This window comes from Homo sapiens, chromosome 2 (genome assembly GCF_000001405.40).
Source record: "Homo sapiens chromosome 2, GRCh38.p14 Primary Assembly".
NCBI classification, from domain to species: domain Eukaryota; kingdom Metazoa; phylum Chordata; class Mammalia; order Primates; family Hominidae; genus Homo; species Homo sapiens.
The window spans coordinates 218,704,564-218,722,667 of record NC_000002.12 but is presented as its reverse complement, the minus strand read 5'-3'; the positions used below and the strand labels follow the sequence as shown (position 1 = coordinate 218,722,667).

The 18,104-nt window shown below is 44.1% G+C and overlaps 1 protein-coding gene and 1 long non-coding RNA gene across 17 annotated transcripts in view, besides 5 other annotated features; one reads left to right on the top strand and one right to left on the bottom strand.

Annotated features, from left to right (window-relative positions):
* The window catches only part of TTLL4 (tubulin tyrosine ligase like 4), a 48,890-nt gene extending 37,057 nt beyond the window's left edge, over positions 1-11,833 (bottom strand). For all 16 annotated transcript variants that reach the window (XM_047446455.1, XM_047446454.1, XM_006712875.3 and 13 more), the window contains exon 1: positions 11,631-11,833. The gene's annotated coding sequence lies outside the window, so the exon portion shown is untranslated. The remainder of the gene's footprint in view (positions 1-11,630) is intronic.
* Positions 2,805-3,102: a silencer, noted in NCBI's record as "fragment chr2:219584289-219584586 (GRCh37/hg19 assembly coordinates)". NCBI's record gives its function as "represses an EF-1alpha promoter that drives an FKBP-Casp9 reporter gene in an ReSE screen in K562 erythroleukemia cells {active_cell/tissue: K562}" and the evidence as "EXISTENCE:reporter gene assay evidence [ECO:0000049][PMID:32094911]".
* Positions 11,184-13,066, top strand: LOC124907983 (uncharacterized). The gene is made up of 2 exons (XR_007088089.1): positions 11,184-11,448; positions 12,582-13,066. It is a non-coding gene; the product is annotated as an uncharacterized LOC124907983 (long non-coding RNA).
* Positions 11,442-11,491: a silencer, noted in NCBI's record as "silent region_12326". NCBI's record gives its function as "represses an Ori minimal core promoter by ATAC-STARR-seq in GM12878 lymphoblastoid cells {active_cell/tissue: GM12878}" and the evidence as "EXISTENCE:reporter gene assay evidence [ECO:0000049][PMID:35858748]".
* Positions 11,502-11,551: a silencer, noted in NCBI's record as "silent region_12325". NCBI's record gives its function as "represses an Ori minimal core promoter by ATAC-STARR-seq in GM12878 lymphoblastoid cells {active_cell/tissue: GM12878}" and the evidence as "EXISTENCE:reporter gene assay evidence [ECO:0000049][PMID:35858748]".
* Positions 11,932-12,031: an enhancer, noted in NCBI's record as "active region_17130". NCBI's record gives its function as "activates an Ori minimal core promoter by ATAC-STARR-seq in GM12878 lymphoblastoid cells {active_cell/tissue: GM12878}" and the evidence as "EXISTENCE:reporter gene assay evidence [ECO:0000049][PMID:35858748]".
* Positions 14,257-14,306: an enhancer, noted in NCBI's record as "active region_17129". NCBI's record gives its function as "activates an Ori minimal core promoter by ATAC-STARR-seq in GM12878 lymphoblastoid cells {active_cell/tissue: GM12878}" and the evidence as "EXISTENCE:reporter gene assay evidence [ECO:0000049][PMID:35858748]".

Here is an 18,104-nt window from a genome sequence, read left to right as displayed (position 1 = left end):
GCTTCCAGGACTATGTGATCTGATTCCTGACTCTCTGACCTTATCCAGAGCCACTCTTCCTCTCATGAGGAACGTTCCCACCTCTGGATCTTTGTGGTTTCCTCTGAAACACTCAGATCTTTGAATGGCTGGCTTAGTTCTTTCACTCAGTATTCAACTAAAAAGGCCTTCCTTGTCAATCCTATCTAATATTGTCCTACCCCAATCATTCCCTATTTCATTACCTTGTTTTATTCCCTCCATTTCATTCCTCCACTATCTAAAATTATTATATATTTATATTTCCTTACACTTGGCTCAAAAAAAAAAAAGATGAACAAAGAAGCTGGTAATTTTTTTAAAAACTACCAATGAGGTTGGAAACAGACAAAGATGACTTATCTGTGTATACCTTTTCCTACAATTTTAATTTCTTTTTGTTTGTTTGAGACCAGGTCACTTGGTCACCAAGGTTTGACCTCCTGGGCTCATGGTCCTCCTATCTCACCCTCCCAAGGAGCTGGAACTACTGGTGTGTTCCACCGCACCCAGCTAACTTTTTTATTTTTTGTAGAGATAAGGTCTTGCTATCTTGCCAGGGCTAGTCTCAAACTCCTGGGCTCAAGCGATTCTCCCACCTCAGCTTCCCAAAGTGCTGGGACTGCAGACATGAACCCCTACACCTGGCCCTAATTTTAACTTCTGAGTTTTTTAATTTTTTTTTTTAAATAGAGACAGAGTCTCACTATGTTGCCCCAGTTGGTCTCGAATTCCTGCCCTCAAGTGATCCTCTTGCCTCAGCCTCTCAAAAGTGCTGAGATTACAGGTATGAGCCACTGGGCCTGGCTATTTTAAAATAAAAACCTCAATTATTTATGCATTTCTTTGCTATCTGTCTATCTTCCAGAATGAAAGCTTTGAGCACAGGGACTTTTTCACAGAGCTTATGTATCCAGCCCTAGAATGGTAATCAGGGCTCATTAAATATTTGCTGAATAAACAAATGCATCTACAACAGCTATGACCAGCTAAGGGGGAAAAAACTTTTTTCACTCCCTTACATAGTCACTCTTAACACAGTACAGAATATTTCACCTCTGGTCATCAAAATGTGTGAGGCACACACACCAAGGAATGCTCCAGAGGCCACCAGCTGGATATCCTATAATTCAATTCTGACACTATTTACCTAAAGATAGCATCAGATCTCACAGGTTAAGGGCTCAGTACCACAAGGCTGCTTCCACTTCAGATTCCAATTGCAAGGCACAGGTTGTGACCTGTGCTTCTGATTGATTTGCTATAAATTGGTGTTCCCTGGCCAGGCGCGGTGACGCACACCTGTAATCCCAACACCTTGGGTGGGGCGAATCGCTTGAGCCCAGGAGTTCAAAATTAGCCTGGGCCACATGGCAGAACCCCACCTCTTAATTAATTAATTAATTAATTAATTGGGGGTAAATTGAGGTTCCCAAAACCCCCCCATGGGGTTTGATCAATTTGTTAGAACAACTCACAGAACTCAGGGAAACACTTCACTTACATTTACCTATTTATTACAAAGGATACAGATGAACAGCCACATGGAAGAGATACATGATGCATAGGGCAAGGGATGGGGAAAAGGGCTTGGAGCTTCCGTGCTGTTACCGGGAGTGCCAGGTACATTCATGTGCTCAACAATCCAAACCCTGTCCTTTTGGGTTTTTATGCAGGTTTCATTAATAGGCATGACTGAATAAATCACTGGCCATTGGTAGTCAGCTCAATCTTTGGCTCCACTCCCCTTCCCAGAAGGTGGGGGATGGAACTGAAAGTTCCAACCCTCTAATCACATGGTTGGTTCTCTCGGCAATCAGCCTCCCATCTTGAGGCTATTCAGGAGTCCCCAGCTATCAATCATCTCATTAGCATATAAAAAGACACTTATCACTTACAAGTTCTGAAGGTTTTAGGAGCCAGGAACCAGGGGCACACCCCAATTATGTATTTCTTTCTTTTTTTTTTTTTTTTTGAGACCGGAGTCTCACTGTGTTGCCCAGGCTGGAGTGCAATGGTACGATCTCGGCTCGCTGCAACCTCTGCCTCCCGCGTTCATGCAATTCTCCCGCCTCAGCCTCCCGAATAGCCGGGATTACAGGCACCCGCCATCGTGCCCGGATAATTTTTGTATTTTTGTAGAGACAGGGTTTCACCATGCTGACCAGGCTGGAGTATTTCTTATTATATCACAATATCACATCAGCAAAGCCACGAGTTGGACCTATTCATATGAAAAAGGCGTTCCCCTCTTACCACCATCTCCTTGTTGCTATTTTTTACTCAGTGCGTGCACTCTGCCACAGCTGTACCCAACCCCTTCAATAGTGTCTTTCCTCCTCCTGAGGCCAATCCAAAATCCTCCAGTTCTTTCATCCTCCCCCACATCAAATCAATCTCTCTCACAATGTCAACTATTATCTGCAGAAGAGTCATTTTGCAGATTTGTCGTCTCAAGTTTCATGTCTGCATCACCAACTGCCTGTTCCACCTTTCCAAATGCATGTCCAACCACTTCAATCTAGTGTGTCAAACTAGCTCTCCACTCCTGATCGTCCCATTTCCTTGAGTGGACCCTTCTTTCTCCAAATCACCTAAGAGGAAAACTAAGTTATTTCTGACTTTTTCCTTTACTTTATTTCCCCAAAGGGAAACCAGTCATGAAATTTAAGACACTCTGTCTACTTAGCATTCTTCCTCCTTTTATTATTTCCACCATGCCCCTAGATCTGGACTTACTGCAACAGCACTGACTGAAGCATGTGTCTCCAAGGTGTGCCCTTCCTAATTCCACCCTGCAGGCAACCTCCAGATTAATTTTGCTGTATTGCTTCATCAGGTCAATCCCTTTTCAAAAACGGTCCATGAGCACTTACTAAACACTGTGGTGGCCCACCTGCATCAGAATAACCTGAGATGCAAAGTCCTGAGATTCACCTTCAAGAGGATTCAGTTGGTGTGGAGTAGGGCCATGAGTCTGCAGTTTTAACAAGCATTCCAGATGACTGTCATGTGAGATTTCTTAGCTTTGGTCCACAAGACTCCATAGTCGACCCTTAATCTTTTTTTTTTTTTTTTTAAGGCTTATTTCCATTTCCTCCTACCTTGAACTCTGTTATGTGAACTGCGCTGGTCTTACACTAAATTCCTGGAATAAACCTTTCAAATGCCTGTCTGCAGGGCTTTACTCCACTAAGCTTCTTCCTTGTGAATCCTTACCATATTTTATTTACCTTTTCCAGACCCAGCTCAAGACCCACCCTCTCCACGAGCACCTGTTGTGTGTCCCTCTCACGTGATACTTTCCCAAGGCTATCTCACACCACTGTTCACTTACCCTAGTGATATGCCCTATAAGCTTCATGATGGCTTTTATAGGAAATCTCTGGGGATCTTTAACCTCAAATACAGAGCCACGCTGGCAGAAGGGGGTGGGAAGAACCCTGGTCCAGTTTGGCCTCCTATTAGCAATATTGCCCAAGTCTCCTCCCCCAACAACTTTATGGAACACTAAGTCTTCCTAGAACAAAAGTTTTTAAAAAATTGACTTAGAAACGATGGATATGTTCAATGTGAATTATACCTCCACAAAACTGTTAAAAATAAAAATAAAACTTGAATAAAGGGGTAAGAGTGAAGAATAAAAAACTGCAGAAAGTTGTATGGATCAACAAAATGGCCTGAAACATCCCCTTCTATTTGCATGGCTGCCTCAGCCCAGTCTCCAACCCCTCTAACACCAAGTGCAGGACTGTTAAGGTAAGCAGCCTGACTGATGTCCCTGGCTCCAGACTCTCCCCTTTAAAACACCCATTCTCAGGAATCTGAACATCCTACTTTGTCATCTTCATGCAGCATTTGGAAACTGCCTATACAGTTCTGTCCTCCAATCTTTATGGGGTGATTTTGCCTCAAGTTTCCTCCTTAAAGGAGTGTGAATGATTAGTAGCCTATGTTAGAAAATCTATTGCTGGCCGGGCGCAGTGGTTCATGCCTGAAATCCCAGTACTTTGGGAGGCCGAGGTGGGCAGATCACCTGAGGTCGAGAGTTCGAAACCAGCCTGAGCAACATGGAGAAACCCCATTTCTACTAAAAATACAAAACTAGCCAGGCATGGTGGTGCATGCCTGTAATCCCAGCTACTTGGGAGGTGGAGGCAGGAGAATCGCTTGAACCTGGGAGGCAGAGGTTGCGGTGAGCCGAGATTGCGCCATTGCACTCCAGCCTGGGCAACAAGAGTGAAACTGCGTCTCAAAAGAAAAAAAAAAAAGAAAAGAAAATCTATTGCTGCTGTCGCAAACCAACAAGTCTCCAGGGACCAGGCCCAGACCAACTTGGACAAGGTATCTATTTCTAGAGAAAGCAATTATTCATTACCCACTAATTAAATCACTCTCCTACAAGAGAGTGTGGCTCTTGGGAAATGCAGTTTCCCTTTCCTCCTTCAACTAGGTGTTTCCCTCGGTCACCAGGGAAACTCAGGACATCAGAAATGGTTCAGTCTACAGTCCACAAGATCTCTGATGAGATTACCTCAACTGCTCAACAGTTATGTTAGAAGATAGAACTGACAGGCTCACGCCTGTAATCCCAACACTTTGGGAGGCTGAGGCAGGTGGATCACGAGGTCAGGAGATCAAAACCATCCTGGTTAACACGGTGAAACCCCATCTCTACTAAAAATACAAAAGGCGTGGTGGCAGACGCCTGCAGTCCCAGCTACTTGGGAGGCTGAGGCAGGAGAATGGCCTGAACCCGGGAGGCGGAGCTTGCAGTGAGCCGAGACTGTGCCACTGCACTCCAGCCTGGGTGACAGAGCAAGACTCTGTCTCCAAAAAAAAAAAAAAGAAGAAGATAGAACTGACTTGCCTGGAACCAAATAGAGAGGAGTGTAGGAATCACATTAATTTTCTCTTATGAGATAAATCCCAAGCTCTCTCTCCCTAAGGAAAGGTGGAGGAGCAATATATCTCTCCTAAAGCCCTACTAAGAGAGGAAGGTCAAGAATACAGCCTAGTGAGAAGGGTGGGTCCGTATAAGTCAAGATTAGTGAAATTACAGGTAGCTCTTGTAGAGCACAGTTTAGCAATGCCAAACAAGTAAGCAAACCTGAGGAAAAGATACAGGTTATGGCAGCTGGAGCTGAGGGAGGTAAACCTATAAATTACTGAAAAGTGAAACCAGTGGAAGGGTTTATGTAATGGGGTGACTCACTCTCCTGAAGCCTTGCCCTTTATCAGCTTCGGGAAGGAGGCTCTTTCCTCCTTCTCAGGTGGGCTCTGGAGCAGCAGTTCTCAAAGCATGGTCCACAGACCCTGAGGGGACCCTAAGATCCTTTTGGCGGTCCTGCTACATAGAAAATATTTTCATAACAAAACTAAGAGGTAGCTGGGTGGGGTGACTTGTGCCTATAATCCCAACACTTTGGGAGGCTAAGGTGGGCAAATTACTTGGGCTCCAGAGTTCAAGACCAGCATGGGCAACATGGTGAAACCTTGTCTCTACAAAAAAAAAATACAAAAAATCAGCTAGATGTGGTGGTGCATGCCTGTGGTAGGAGGATCACCTGAGCCTGGGGGGTGGAGACTGCAGTAAGCCATGATCATGCCACTGCACTCCAGCCTGTCTTCGGACAAAAAAAAAGAAAAAGAAAAAAACCTAAGATGTTATTTGCCTTTTTACTGTGCTGACCTTTCCACTGATAGAGCAAAAGCAATAATGAGTAAAACTGCTGGTGACTTAGCATGAATCAAGACGATGGCACGAAATTAGATTCTTACCCACTATACTTTTCCACCACACAGTGAAAGAATACAACCAGGTTTACTTGATGGCACAGTGTAAATTTTTTTTTTCTTTTTGAGACAGAGTCTCGCTCTGTCGCCAGGCTGGAGTGCAGTGGCACGATCTCGGCTCACTGCAACCTCCGCCTCCTGGGTTCACGCCATTCTCCTGCCTCAACCTCCTGAGTAGCTGGGACTACAGGCACTTACTACCACGCCCGGCTAATTTTTTGTATTTTTAGTAGAGACAGGGTTTCACCGTGTTAGCCAGGATGGCCTCGATCTCCTGACCTTGTGATCTGCCCGCCTCGGCCTCCCAAAGTGCTGGGATTACAGGCGTGAGCCACTGCGCCCAGCCCGACACAGTGTAAATTATATTAAATCTCATTAAAAAGTGTCCTTGAGTATGCTTTTTAATATTCTGTGTGATAAAATGTGAAGTACATATAAAACATTTATGCTGCATGCAGAACATGTTGATTATCTCTAAAGCACTTGTGTGATTGTCTGAATTGCAGGATTTTTCTGTGGAACGCCATGTTTACTTGAAAGAATGAATGACACATAAGTAATAGTTATTCCGACGTCATTATTTGGCAAAGGTTCTGGAAAATGAAACAAAGTAAGCCTGTCACTTCAAGGAAACCAACTGACTGTACTTGTTGCCAATGATAAAATTTGAGCTTCCCAAAGAAAATTAGAATTTTGGCAAAATGGTATCTGCCACCACGAGTTTGAGTGCTTCCCAATATTTAACTACTTCTCTGAAGAGATTGTGGTGATATGATTTTTTTGACACTATACAATAAACTGTGACACGTGGGAGATCTGCATAACTCAGTGAACCAGTATTTTCCTAACAGTCATGCCTCACATAATGTTTCAGTCAACAGATAGTCCCCATAGAAGACAATGTCCCATAAGATTATCATTCCAGGCCGGGTGTGGTGGCTCACGCCTGTAATCCCAGCACTTTGGGAGGCCGAGGCAGGTGGATCACGAGGTCAGGAGATCGAAACCATCCTGGCTAACATGGTGAAACCCCATCTCTACTAAAAATACAAAAAAATTAGCCAGGCGTGGTGGCGGGTGCCTGTAGTCCCAGCTACTTGGGAGGCTGAGGCAGGAGAATGGCGTGAACGAGGAAGGTGGAGGTTGCAGTGAGCCGAGATTGCGCCACTGCACTCCAGCCTAGCGACAGATTGAGACTCCCTCTAAAGAAAGAAAAAAAAAAAGATTATCATTCCTTATTTTTACAGTAGCCTTTTCTATGCTTCAATGTTTAGATGCATTGTGTTGCAACTGTGTTGCAACTGCAGAGAATACTCATTATGGTGACATGCTGTTCAGGTTTGCAGCCTAGGAGCAATAGGCTATACCATGACTGTGTAGCATGACTGTATCACATGTTACAGAATCATGTATGGATCTAAGACCCAGTCAAAGTGAGACAGATCCATGGATTTTAACATAACAAAGTATGAAATGTTCACTGATATCATTTCAGATTCCACACTGTAACTAGCCTTTACAAAATCATGCTTTGTTTTGCATAGTACCAATACCCACAACTATCTGAGAAGACTACTGAAATACTTCATCCTTTTCCAGCCATCTGTGTGCAGCTGGATTTTCATTATTCAATCAAAACAACTATCACAATAGACTGGAGAAACATATGAAAATCCAGCTGTCTTCTATTAAGTCAGACACTAAAGAGATCTAAAAAACAATGCCACTCTTCTCACTAATATTTTTAAAACAGTAGCATTTTTTAAATGAAAACATTAAGTGAACTTATGCTAACCATAACTTAGGTTAGAAATGCTGTTTGTGTTAACTAACTTACGTTAGCATACAGTTAATGTAAATTGTAACATACGTAAAAATGTTATTCATGTTAGTAATGGGCTTATTACTTCTAAATGAATATTTCAGTTCCTAATATAATATTAAAATATAGGCTAAGCGCAGTGGCTCAAGCCTGTAAGCACTTTGGGAGGTTGAGGCGGGAGGACTGTTTGAGTCCAGGAGTTCGAGACCAGCCTGGGCAATATAGTGAGACCCCATCTCTAAACAAAATTTAAAAAGAAAAAATTGAATATTGAAATATATATATATATATCCCTTTTTTTTTAACTGAAGATTCCAAAGAGCTTTTTCAAGTACATAAAGAAATCCTGAGCCCAAAAACTCTGAGCTCTGAGCACTGCCGGTCTAGAGAAGCACTATGCTTCTCTAGCATATCTATGAGGGCTCCGAAGGACAAGGTCCTTTGTATTGTAAGGCCTAAGAGAAACGAGCACTCTCAGTATTTGTTCCCAACTCTGCCAGAAGAAAAGGTAAGAAGTAAAAGGCATTAAAGGAAAAGCTTTTCTCTGTAATTTACTGACTTTTGGTGATTTACCAAAGCACCTGATCACAGGCTAAAATTCAGACACTATGATCAGACAATTCCAAGGTCATAGAAGGAATCTAGTGAGAAAGCTAAATCCAACTCCAAAACATGAGTATCAGATGGATTCTGAAGTTAAGGCTTCATCTAGATACAGATTTTCAGCAAATGACAACTTCCTATTCACACATTCATTTCTGCATTTGGTTATGTATTCTCTCTGTCCCCTTCTTCCTTCCTCTTTGCTCTACCCATCCTTTCAATGCTGGTGTTGCTCTGAGTTCAGACTTCTCACTTTGCCTGGCACACAGTGAGCACTCAACAAGTGGCAGCTGCCATTATTACCTCTCTCCCAGAGCAATCCCTTCCACGTCACGGCTTCAACCACCTCCTATATTCTCAACTCTATCATCACCCAGGCCTCTCTTGTGAGCTCCAGACCTACAGAATGAACTCCTGGGCCTTTCTACCTGGATGTGCTGCTGCATCACCACCCACATGGTCACTGAAATCAGAAACTTACAATCATTCTACACTGCTCCTTGTCCCATTCTTCTACCTCTATTCTGCCACCAGGTTTTGTCAACACTACCATGGTTAACATCTCTCTAAACCCTCTCCATTTCCACTAGAGCAAACATAAAGCCTTCATCATCTCTAGCCTAGGCCACTATAATAGTTTTCTCATTGGCTCCCTGCCTCCAGTCTAAAATTCTTCCTATTCAACCAACATATTGACACTACAGTAATCTTAAATACAAATCTGACATGATTTTCCTGATAATTATCTTTCTGTGGTTTTCCTGGAACATATTCTTTACATGATTTTACTAATGTATCCCTGAAAGAATTTTTAAAACTATGTGTTCCTTACATATAAGGTAACGTCTAGGCCAGACACAGTAGTTCACTCCTGTAATCCCAGCACTTTGGGAAGCTGAGGCAGGAGGATCACTTGGGCCCAGGAATTTGAGACCAGCCTGGGCAACATAGAGAGACCCCCATCACTACTAAAAATTTTAAAAAATTAGCCAGATGGGTGGCGCATGCCTGTAGTCTCAGCTACTCAGGAGGGTGAGACAGGAGGATGGCTTGAACCCAGGAGTTGGAGTTTACAGTGAGCTATGATCACACCATGGCACTCCAGCCTGGATAACCTCCTGGGCTCAATACATCCTCCCACCTCAGCCTACAAATAGCTGGGACTATAAGAGCACGCTACCATGCTTGGCTAATTTTTACATATTTTTTTTTGTAGAGAAGAGGTTTCGCCATGTTGCCCAGGCTGGTCTCGAATTCCTGGGTCTCAAGCGATCAGCCTGCCTCAGGCTCCCAAAGTGTTGGATTTACAGGTGTGAGCCACAACACCCAGTCTTAAAATAGGTATTAACTATCTTACTGAGTAACACACACCTGAACTAAAAGAAATCTCTTTAAAAATTTTACGCAAGTTTTATCCAAATAACTTAAAAATTCCATTGTCCCAAAAGACATTCCCGTTACATTTAACTGTTGTGTTCTTTTCAGAATATCTTAACAAAGAATACAGTTTACACGAATGGGATTGTGTATTGGCAAGCCTTCTGGGTTGGGAGGTAACTTAAATCACTAAAGGAGGTGTTCCTGAAAATAAATATTTCCAAAGTAGTCCTTATTTGTATCTGAGGACATTTTTACACTCAGGCCAATACACCATATTAAAATTTGGGAAGTGTGAGGGATTTGCCACACACAGCCTCCTACCCTTTTTTTGTAAGGGAAGTTTTAGAAAAAGAGTTCATTGGGGCCGGGCGCGGTGGCTCACACCTGTAATCCCAACATTTTGGGAGGCCGAGGCGGGTGAATCACGAGGTCAGGAGTTTGAGACCAGCCTGGCCAAGATGGTGAAACCCCGTCTCTACTAAAAAATACAAAAAATTAACCGAGCGTGGCAGCATGCGCCTCTAATCCCAGCTACTCCGGAGAATGAGGTAGGAGAATCGCTTGAACCCAGGAGGTGGAAGTTGCAGTGAGCCAAGATCGTGCCATTGCACTCCAGCCTGGGTGACGGAGCAAGACTCTGTCTCAAAAAAAAAAAAAAAAGTTCACTGGGAAGCTGAGGATCTGGAAATGTATTCATGTTAAGCTAGACGTGCAAGTGTATCCCTTGGAAGTCTACAACCCTGATTACTCCAGCTTGAAAACCACTGCTCCAGGGATATAGTTCTAACTCAGCAAAACATCCAAGGCCCTTTGTGATCTAACCCCTATTAACTTCACTCTTTCTATTTGTTACTGGATGGCTCCCTCCAAATCTAGCCCAGGTCTGTCAAACTGTTTCCAGTTCTCTTTTCAGGACTTGCTGTCCCTTTCCTAAAGCCACTGTGTATCTGGAATGTCCTCCCACCTCTCTATTCGCAGAAAACACTTGATAATTTTTCAAGGATTGATTCAGTCCAATATAAGTAGCTGCTAACTTTCTGAGCACAAAGTGGGTGGTTTAAATGCAAACAGTGTCTCAGTATTCAGTGCAAGAAACAGAAGGATGGGATGGAACACTGTCCCAAAGGGTCCCCCAAATGCTAAATCAACAGGTGCTGCAGTTAAAGAATAGGTGATTTGTAGTATCTGAGAAAGCAAAGAAGATTTCATCAAGGAAGGATTAAAATATTTCCGAGATCCAGAATGGGAATGTGAAGACCAGGAGGAATGGCAATAATGTCGTTTTCTAAGTAAGTCCGGATTAAGTATTTCCTGTTCTATCACAGCACACACCACAGTATGGCAAATGCTCGTTTACTTGATTAATAATCTCCTAGACTGTAAATTCCGTGAAAACATGCTTGTCCTATTAGCCACTCTATCCCCTCAATCCCTCCCATTGTACCCAGGCTCATTAAATATTTGTCAATGTTTACTAAAAATTGTTTAGTGAATGATTAAATAAAGGAATTGATGAATGAAGAATTAAATTCCACAGGATCTCAGATCCTGTTTGAATCTGTGGAGTTTAGGAACGTATTCTTCTACAGATACTGAGGATGGAGAAGTGAAAAAGCAGATATCCATGTTAAATTCGGCCCTGGAGCCTGCGAGGAGCTTGGGCTCACACCCAGAGGGAATTTAAACCTCAGCGCGGCAGGACAGAGGAAGCTCGGAGGCCATAACTAGGGGATGAGGCAGTGTTCGGGCACCCGGAGGCGAGGCCGACTAAGTTCGCGGGGCGTGGCGGAGAGGAGAAGGGCTCCGAGGAGGCGCGAAGTCCCGGCCGGGTAGGAGGCCGCGGCTCCCTGGCCTCCCGGGGGATGAGAGGTGGCGGGAGGAAGCGGGGCTAGGGTGAGAGTGGCCGGAGGGCTGGGGACCCGCGCGAAAGGACTCAGGTAGAGGGAGGTCGGGAGCGTGGGACCGGCGGAGTGTCTGGGGTCGGCTCCCCTGGCTCCGCAGCCGCACTCACCTAGGGGATCCAGCTTCGCCCCGGCTCGGCACCGGCTCCACGCTACTTCCTCCCTCGGCCTGCTGGGCTACCCGGCAGCCTCAGGCGCCCCTAGCAACCACGCACCGCCACGCGTGACAAGCGCACTCGGCCGCCAGCGCCGCTGCCGCCTGCCACACACCGCGCGCGCCCCCAGCGGACAGACCGAGAGTCTGGAAGAAGAGGGCGGGAGGCAAGCGCGGGGAATCTCGGGGGTTCTGGGGCCTGTAGGGGCGGGTCGTCACCTGACTCGCGCACGCGCAGTCCCTTCAGTGCGGTGGGATCCGGCGAGCGGAATTCTGGGAGATGTAGTCCCGTGGTTAAAGCTCTGAAAGGCTCCATTCGGAGCATCCAGGACTCTCTCTTTCTACTCTAATTCCACCTACTCCCTATGGACTGTTTTCTTTTTTAGAGACAGAATCTCGCTCTGTCGCCCAGGCTGGAGTGCAGCGACGTGATCATAGCTCACTGCGAACTTGAACTCCTGCTCAAGCGATCCGCCCGCCCCCAGCCTTCCGAGTAGCTGGGACTACAGGCACGCCACCATGCTGGGCTATTTTTAAATTTTTTTTCTCAGGACAGGGTCTCACTATGTTACCCAGACTGGTCTTAAACTCTTGGCCTCAAGTGATCCTCCTGCATCAGCCTCCTGGTCGCTGGGATTACAACGGGAGCCCCCACGCCTGGCCTGGACTCTTTGGCCTTGCCTCAATTGAAAATCAAAGGGCCCAGGCTCAGTTGAAGGATTTCTAGAAAAAGCCTTTGAGTTTGACCGCAGGAAAGGGGAGATTGCCCGATTCACTCTGCCTCCCTCTAACCCATCCTTCCCTAACCCCAACCCACCCAGCGGGGCAAAATTAAAACCACCTGCCTGCTTTATGGGCTTCAAGTGTGAACGTTAGGAAATACTGACTCAATTCCTTATCTCGTTAGCTCCCCAGGCAAGCCAGATCGCGCTCCTGCCTCAGATGTCCGTAGACCTGAGAGATTTGGAGATCTAAGAAAGCTGGAAGATGAAAGGATCTTTCCTAGGCAATTGGCTACAGAAATAAAGGGGACAAAGATAAAACTAATCTGATGAAAACAGTCTGGACCAGAGGAAGGATCTCAATAAATAACTTATTTAGTCAACAGTCGTTGATGGATGCTAAAAGTATTAGATAATTTATGGGAGAATTTTACACTGAAGGATGTACACTGAAGATAACCTACATGTACTAATCAATCTTAGATCACGAAACATGGGACAGCTGAGCATTGTTTCTTGATGTGATGCAATTGAACAGAAATATTTATGAAGTATAGCGTATTTTTGTAAAAAAAAAAGTTGAGTGACTCTAATCAAGTTTTGGCTGTAATTTCCAGTTAACAAGAAATAAAGAGAAACAACTGTATAACACTACAAGAAAGCAATCAAACAAATCCAGAATGTGAGCCAATGTACAGAATAAATGACCTCTTCTTCCTTCAACAATTTTAGGGTATAAAAATGAGGAGAGATGTTTTAGATTATAAGAGATTTAAGAAATATATTCAAATGTTGGCCAGGTACAGTGGCTCACACTTGTAATCCCAACACTCTGAGGATCACTTGAGGTCAGGAGTTCAAGACCAGCCTGGGCAACATGGTGAAACCCCGTCTCCAACAAAAAATACAAAAATTAGCCAGGCATGGTGGTGCACACCTGTAGCCCCCAGCTACTCAGGAGGCTGAGACAGGAGAATCGCTTGAACCCAGGAGACAGAAGTTGCAGTGAGCCAAGATTGTGCCACTGCATTCCACCCTGGGCAACAGAGCAAGACTCCCTCTTGAGAAAAAAAAAAGAAATATATTCAAATGCAATGAGTGCAGCTTGTTTGGATCCTGATTCAAACAAACTGTAAAATGACATTTTTGAGACTGAGAAATAAAAATTTTAAGTACCACCCCAACCAACTTAATGGACCCCATCGTGGCTAAGGGGACACTAGAGCAACCTTAAAAACTGAGTTCCCGGCCGGGCGCAGTGGCTTACGCCTGTAATCCCAGCACTTTGAGAGGCCAAGGCGGGCGGATCACGAGGTCAGGAGATCGAGACCATCCTGGCTAACACGGTGAAACCCCACCTGTACTAAAAATACAAAAAATTAGCTAGGCGTGGTGACGGGCGCCTGTAGTCCCAGCTACTAGGGAGGCTGAGGCAGGAGAATGGCGTGAACCCGGGAGGCAGAGCTTGCAGTGAGCCAAGATCGCACCACTGCACTCCAGCCTGGGCAACAAAGCAAGACTCTTTGAAAAAAAAAAAAAAGAAAGAAAAAAAAAACTGAATTCCTGGCTATGATGAGATGGGAAGTCCAACACACCTCAATATGCCCCTTCCTTATTAACCTTTAAACAGAATTCTTTCCTAAGGAGTAAGCAGAAACCAGCTCTAGAAATCAAGAAAGGGATGATTAATCCTTCATTGGTTTTAGAGGCCAGAACCAGACTCCCTACTCTTTGCACTTTCCTTTTCTTTTCTTTTCTTTTTTTTTTTTTTTTTTTTTGAGAAGGGATCTCACTATGTCACATAGGCTGGAGTGCAGTGGCATGAACACAGCTCACTGCAGCCTCAAACTCCTGGGCTGAAGCAGTCCTCCACTTGAGCCTCCCAAGTAGCTGAGACCACAGGCACAAACCACCACACCTGGCTAATTTCTAAATTTTTTGTAGAGACAAGGTCTTGCTATGTTGCCCAGACTGACTTCGCAGTTTCAAAATGACAGTTCATCAGTTTCACTATGCATCTCTTCCTAAAACTGACCATCATCTCCAGATGGGTTTTGGAGAGGATGCACAATGAGGGTTTTCATTTCCTGCGCTTTACCTTTTGACATCAGAGGGCTGAAAACTCCACCCTAGGATCATGCGAATGCAGCCGTTTTTTGCATATGCAACCCATGAAGAGGCATGAAGCTCAATTGTGCATGCACTTGTTTCTTTCATTATCATGACTCCTCCTATAGCTTATTAAATATGTGTATTTAGCCACCCCACTCTGTGTAAATTCCTGTTCCCTTTATCCCTCCCTCAAAGTACTTGCTTTCAGCTTCTGCCAGAAACTACACTTCCCAGCCTGTCAGAATGGCCACCTTGCAGGCTGCAACCCTTTATAAGAAGTAAAGCTCTCCTTTTCAAATTTATGAGCCCGAGATTCTTTGTTGTCAAGACTATGGAAAAATCTGAATAAGGATTGGGAATACTAAGAACATAGCTGATGTGCTAGGCCCAATGGCTCAAGTCTGTACTCCCAGCTATTCGAGAGGCTGAGGTGGGAGGACTGCTTGAGCCCAGGAGTTTGAGGCTGCAGTGAGCTAATACTGCACCACTGTGCTCCACCCTGGCAACCCCCTCTCTACAAAAAAAAAAAAAAAAAAAAAAAAAAGCAGCATAGACAATATTAAGAAACCACTGTTTATTCTCTTATTGTAGGGAGCTGAATGGTGGCCACCCATTCAAAAGATGTATCTGTGTCCTCATTCCAGGAACTTGTAAATATTACCTTATCTGGTTGAGGGAGTTTAGGAAATGCCACCCCAAAACATGACACTTTGGTATGTTGATTACTTTGGACAAAGGGCACAATAGCAGATGCAGTCGGGGGGTTTGTCTGAGTTCCTCCAAAAGGAACTCAACTGGTATGAATCCTTTCCCTGAGAATATTATCAACAGGGAAAAATAAACTCAGATCACAGGAGAGGAAACTGGAGGTTGACGCTGTGCCCAATCACCTATTCTCCTGAGGGCTACTGTGAGATCATTTTATTTCCTACAGAACAAGACCACTTTCATTAACCATAGAATTCCTCCCCTCACCATCCCATAACTTGAGTCTCCACCACCTCCCAGAAGTCCCAAGTTCCTATGCCTTTCTGTAGCTCAGGATGCTATATAAGCCTAGAACATCTGACCCTTCTTTGAGTCTCATATTTTGTAGGACACTTATGTGTATGTACAAAATTAAATGTGGTTTTTCTCCTGTTAAACTTTTTTTTTTTTTGAGACAGGGTCTCACTCTGTTGCCCAGGCTGGTGTGCAGCGGCATGATCTTGGCTCACTGCAGCCTCTGCCTCTTGAGTTCAAGCGATTCTTGTGTCTCAGCCTCCCAAGTAGCTGGGATTACAGGCATGCATCACCATGCCTGGCTAATTTTTGTATTTTTAGTAGAGACAGGGTTTCGCCATGTTGGCCAGGCTGCTCTCCAACTTTCAACCTCAGGTGATCTACCTGCTTCAGCCTTCCAAAGTGCTGGAATTACAGGCGTGAGCCACCATGCCCAGTCTTTTTTTTTTTTTTTTAAGATAGTCTTGCTCTGTGGTCCAGGCTGGAGGGCAGTGGCACGATCTGGGCTCACTGCAACCTCCACCTCCCAGGTTCAAGCAATTCTCACGTCTCAGCCTCCCGAGTAGTTGGGATTACAAGCGTGCACTACAATGCCTGGCTAATTTTTGTATTTCTGGTAGAGATGGAATTTCGCCATGTTGGCCAGGCTGCTCTCAAACTCCTGACCTCAAGTGATCTGCCCGCCTCGGCTTCCCAAAGTGCTGGGATTACAGGCATGAGCCATCACACCCAGCTGATAAATTTTTAAAAGGAATACGGTACGTAAAGCCAAAATATTGATGATAGTAGGGCAAAATGCTGATGACAGCTGAATCTGTAGGATCAGGGTCTGGGGGTTTATTATGCCATTCTCTCTACTTTTATATGGTTGAAAACTTTTTAGTTCCCCATTACCACCAAAAAAGTTAAAACACATACCTGTTTATACATACAAAATCAAACACAGGCACAAATCCTCAAACCTTCCAAACATTCTCTGGATTCCAGGCACTACACAAAACATTCACTCCAAATTCTCTTAGTACTCTGTCAGTCCCTTGTGCAATAATTGCTAGAAGTAAAATTGTTGATACGGTATTTCTAATCCTTCAGATTGAATGCTTTCAAGGACATGGATGTGTTTTCTTGTTTCCGCATAAAATGATCAACTATTGCTTTATGTGCTAGATAGTCTAAAAAGTTTAGGTATAAGTTTAATTGCTTTTTTTTTTTTTTTTTTTTGAGACGGAGTCTTGCTCTGTCACCAGGCTGGAGTTCAGTGGCGTAATCTTGGCTCACTGCAACCTCCACCTCCTGGGTTCAAGGGATTCTCCTGCCTCAGCCTCCTGAGTAGCTGGGACTACAGGCTTGTGCTACCACGCCCAGCTAATTTCTGTATTTTTAGTAGAGACGGGGTTTCACCATGTTGGTCAGGATGGTCTCGATCTCTTGACCTTGTGATCCACCCGCCTCGGCCTCCCAAAGTGGCCGGGATGTCATTTATTCCATTACAGTATTCTTCCTGTGGGATTACAGGCAGTTTAATTTCTTTTTAGCAAATTGTTTATGTACCAGATAAGAATGATATTTCAAGCTAGTATTTAGTTTATTATTTGAAAAAATAAATAATTCTTACACAAGGTAACTCCCCTTAGTTTATCTTTTAGGAAAACAATCTAGATTTTAAAATACTGTATTTGCCTAGACAGGTCTTAGTGAAGTCAAGAGCATGGCTGACTGACTGCCTGGGTACAGGAGATTTGAGCAACAGAATTTACAAGAAGAAAAGTGTTTCTAACATCTTCATCTATCCAGAGCCAATGAACAATTTAAAGGAAATAGGAAGAATACTGTAATGGAATAAATGACATCCCAATACATAATCAGCCAAATCTAATGTGAAGAAGCCTACTGCTCAAATGATCTGGTTTATTCAATGAAATTGTACCTCCCAAAAGTAGAGGGAACTGTTTTATATTAAGAATCTTGGCCGGGCGCGGTGGCTCATGCCTGTAATCCCAGCACTTTGGGAGGCCGAGGCGGGTGGATCACCTGAGGTCAGGAGTTTGAGACCAGCCTGGCCAACATGGTGAAACCCCATCTCTACTAAAAATACAAAAAACCTAACTGGGCATGGTGGTGTGTGCCTGTAATCCCAGCTATTCGGGAGGCTGAGACAGGAGAATCGCTTGAACCTGGGAAGTGGAGGTTGTAGTGAGCCAAGATCATGCCACTGCACTCCAGCCTGGGCAACAGAGCAAGACTCTGTCTCAAAAATAAATAAATATATAAATAAATAAAATATTTTTTTCAGATCTCAGCAACTTCTAAAAAAAAATTAAAAATTTCATTCATTCTACCCTGATATTAAGAATCTTACAAGCAAGTCAACCAAATGCAGTAAGTAGACTTCATCTAGATCTGTATTTGAACAAACTAACTACAGGCCAAGAAATACTAAGGTCAGCTGAGATATTTAATATTAAGCAATTGTTAATTTTTGTCAAGTACAGTACTATACTGTGGTTTTGATAAAAGTGAAATACAAAAGTCCTGATCTGCCGCAGACGTATACCTAAGTATGTATGGATAACACTGCCAGCCAGGATTTGTTT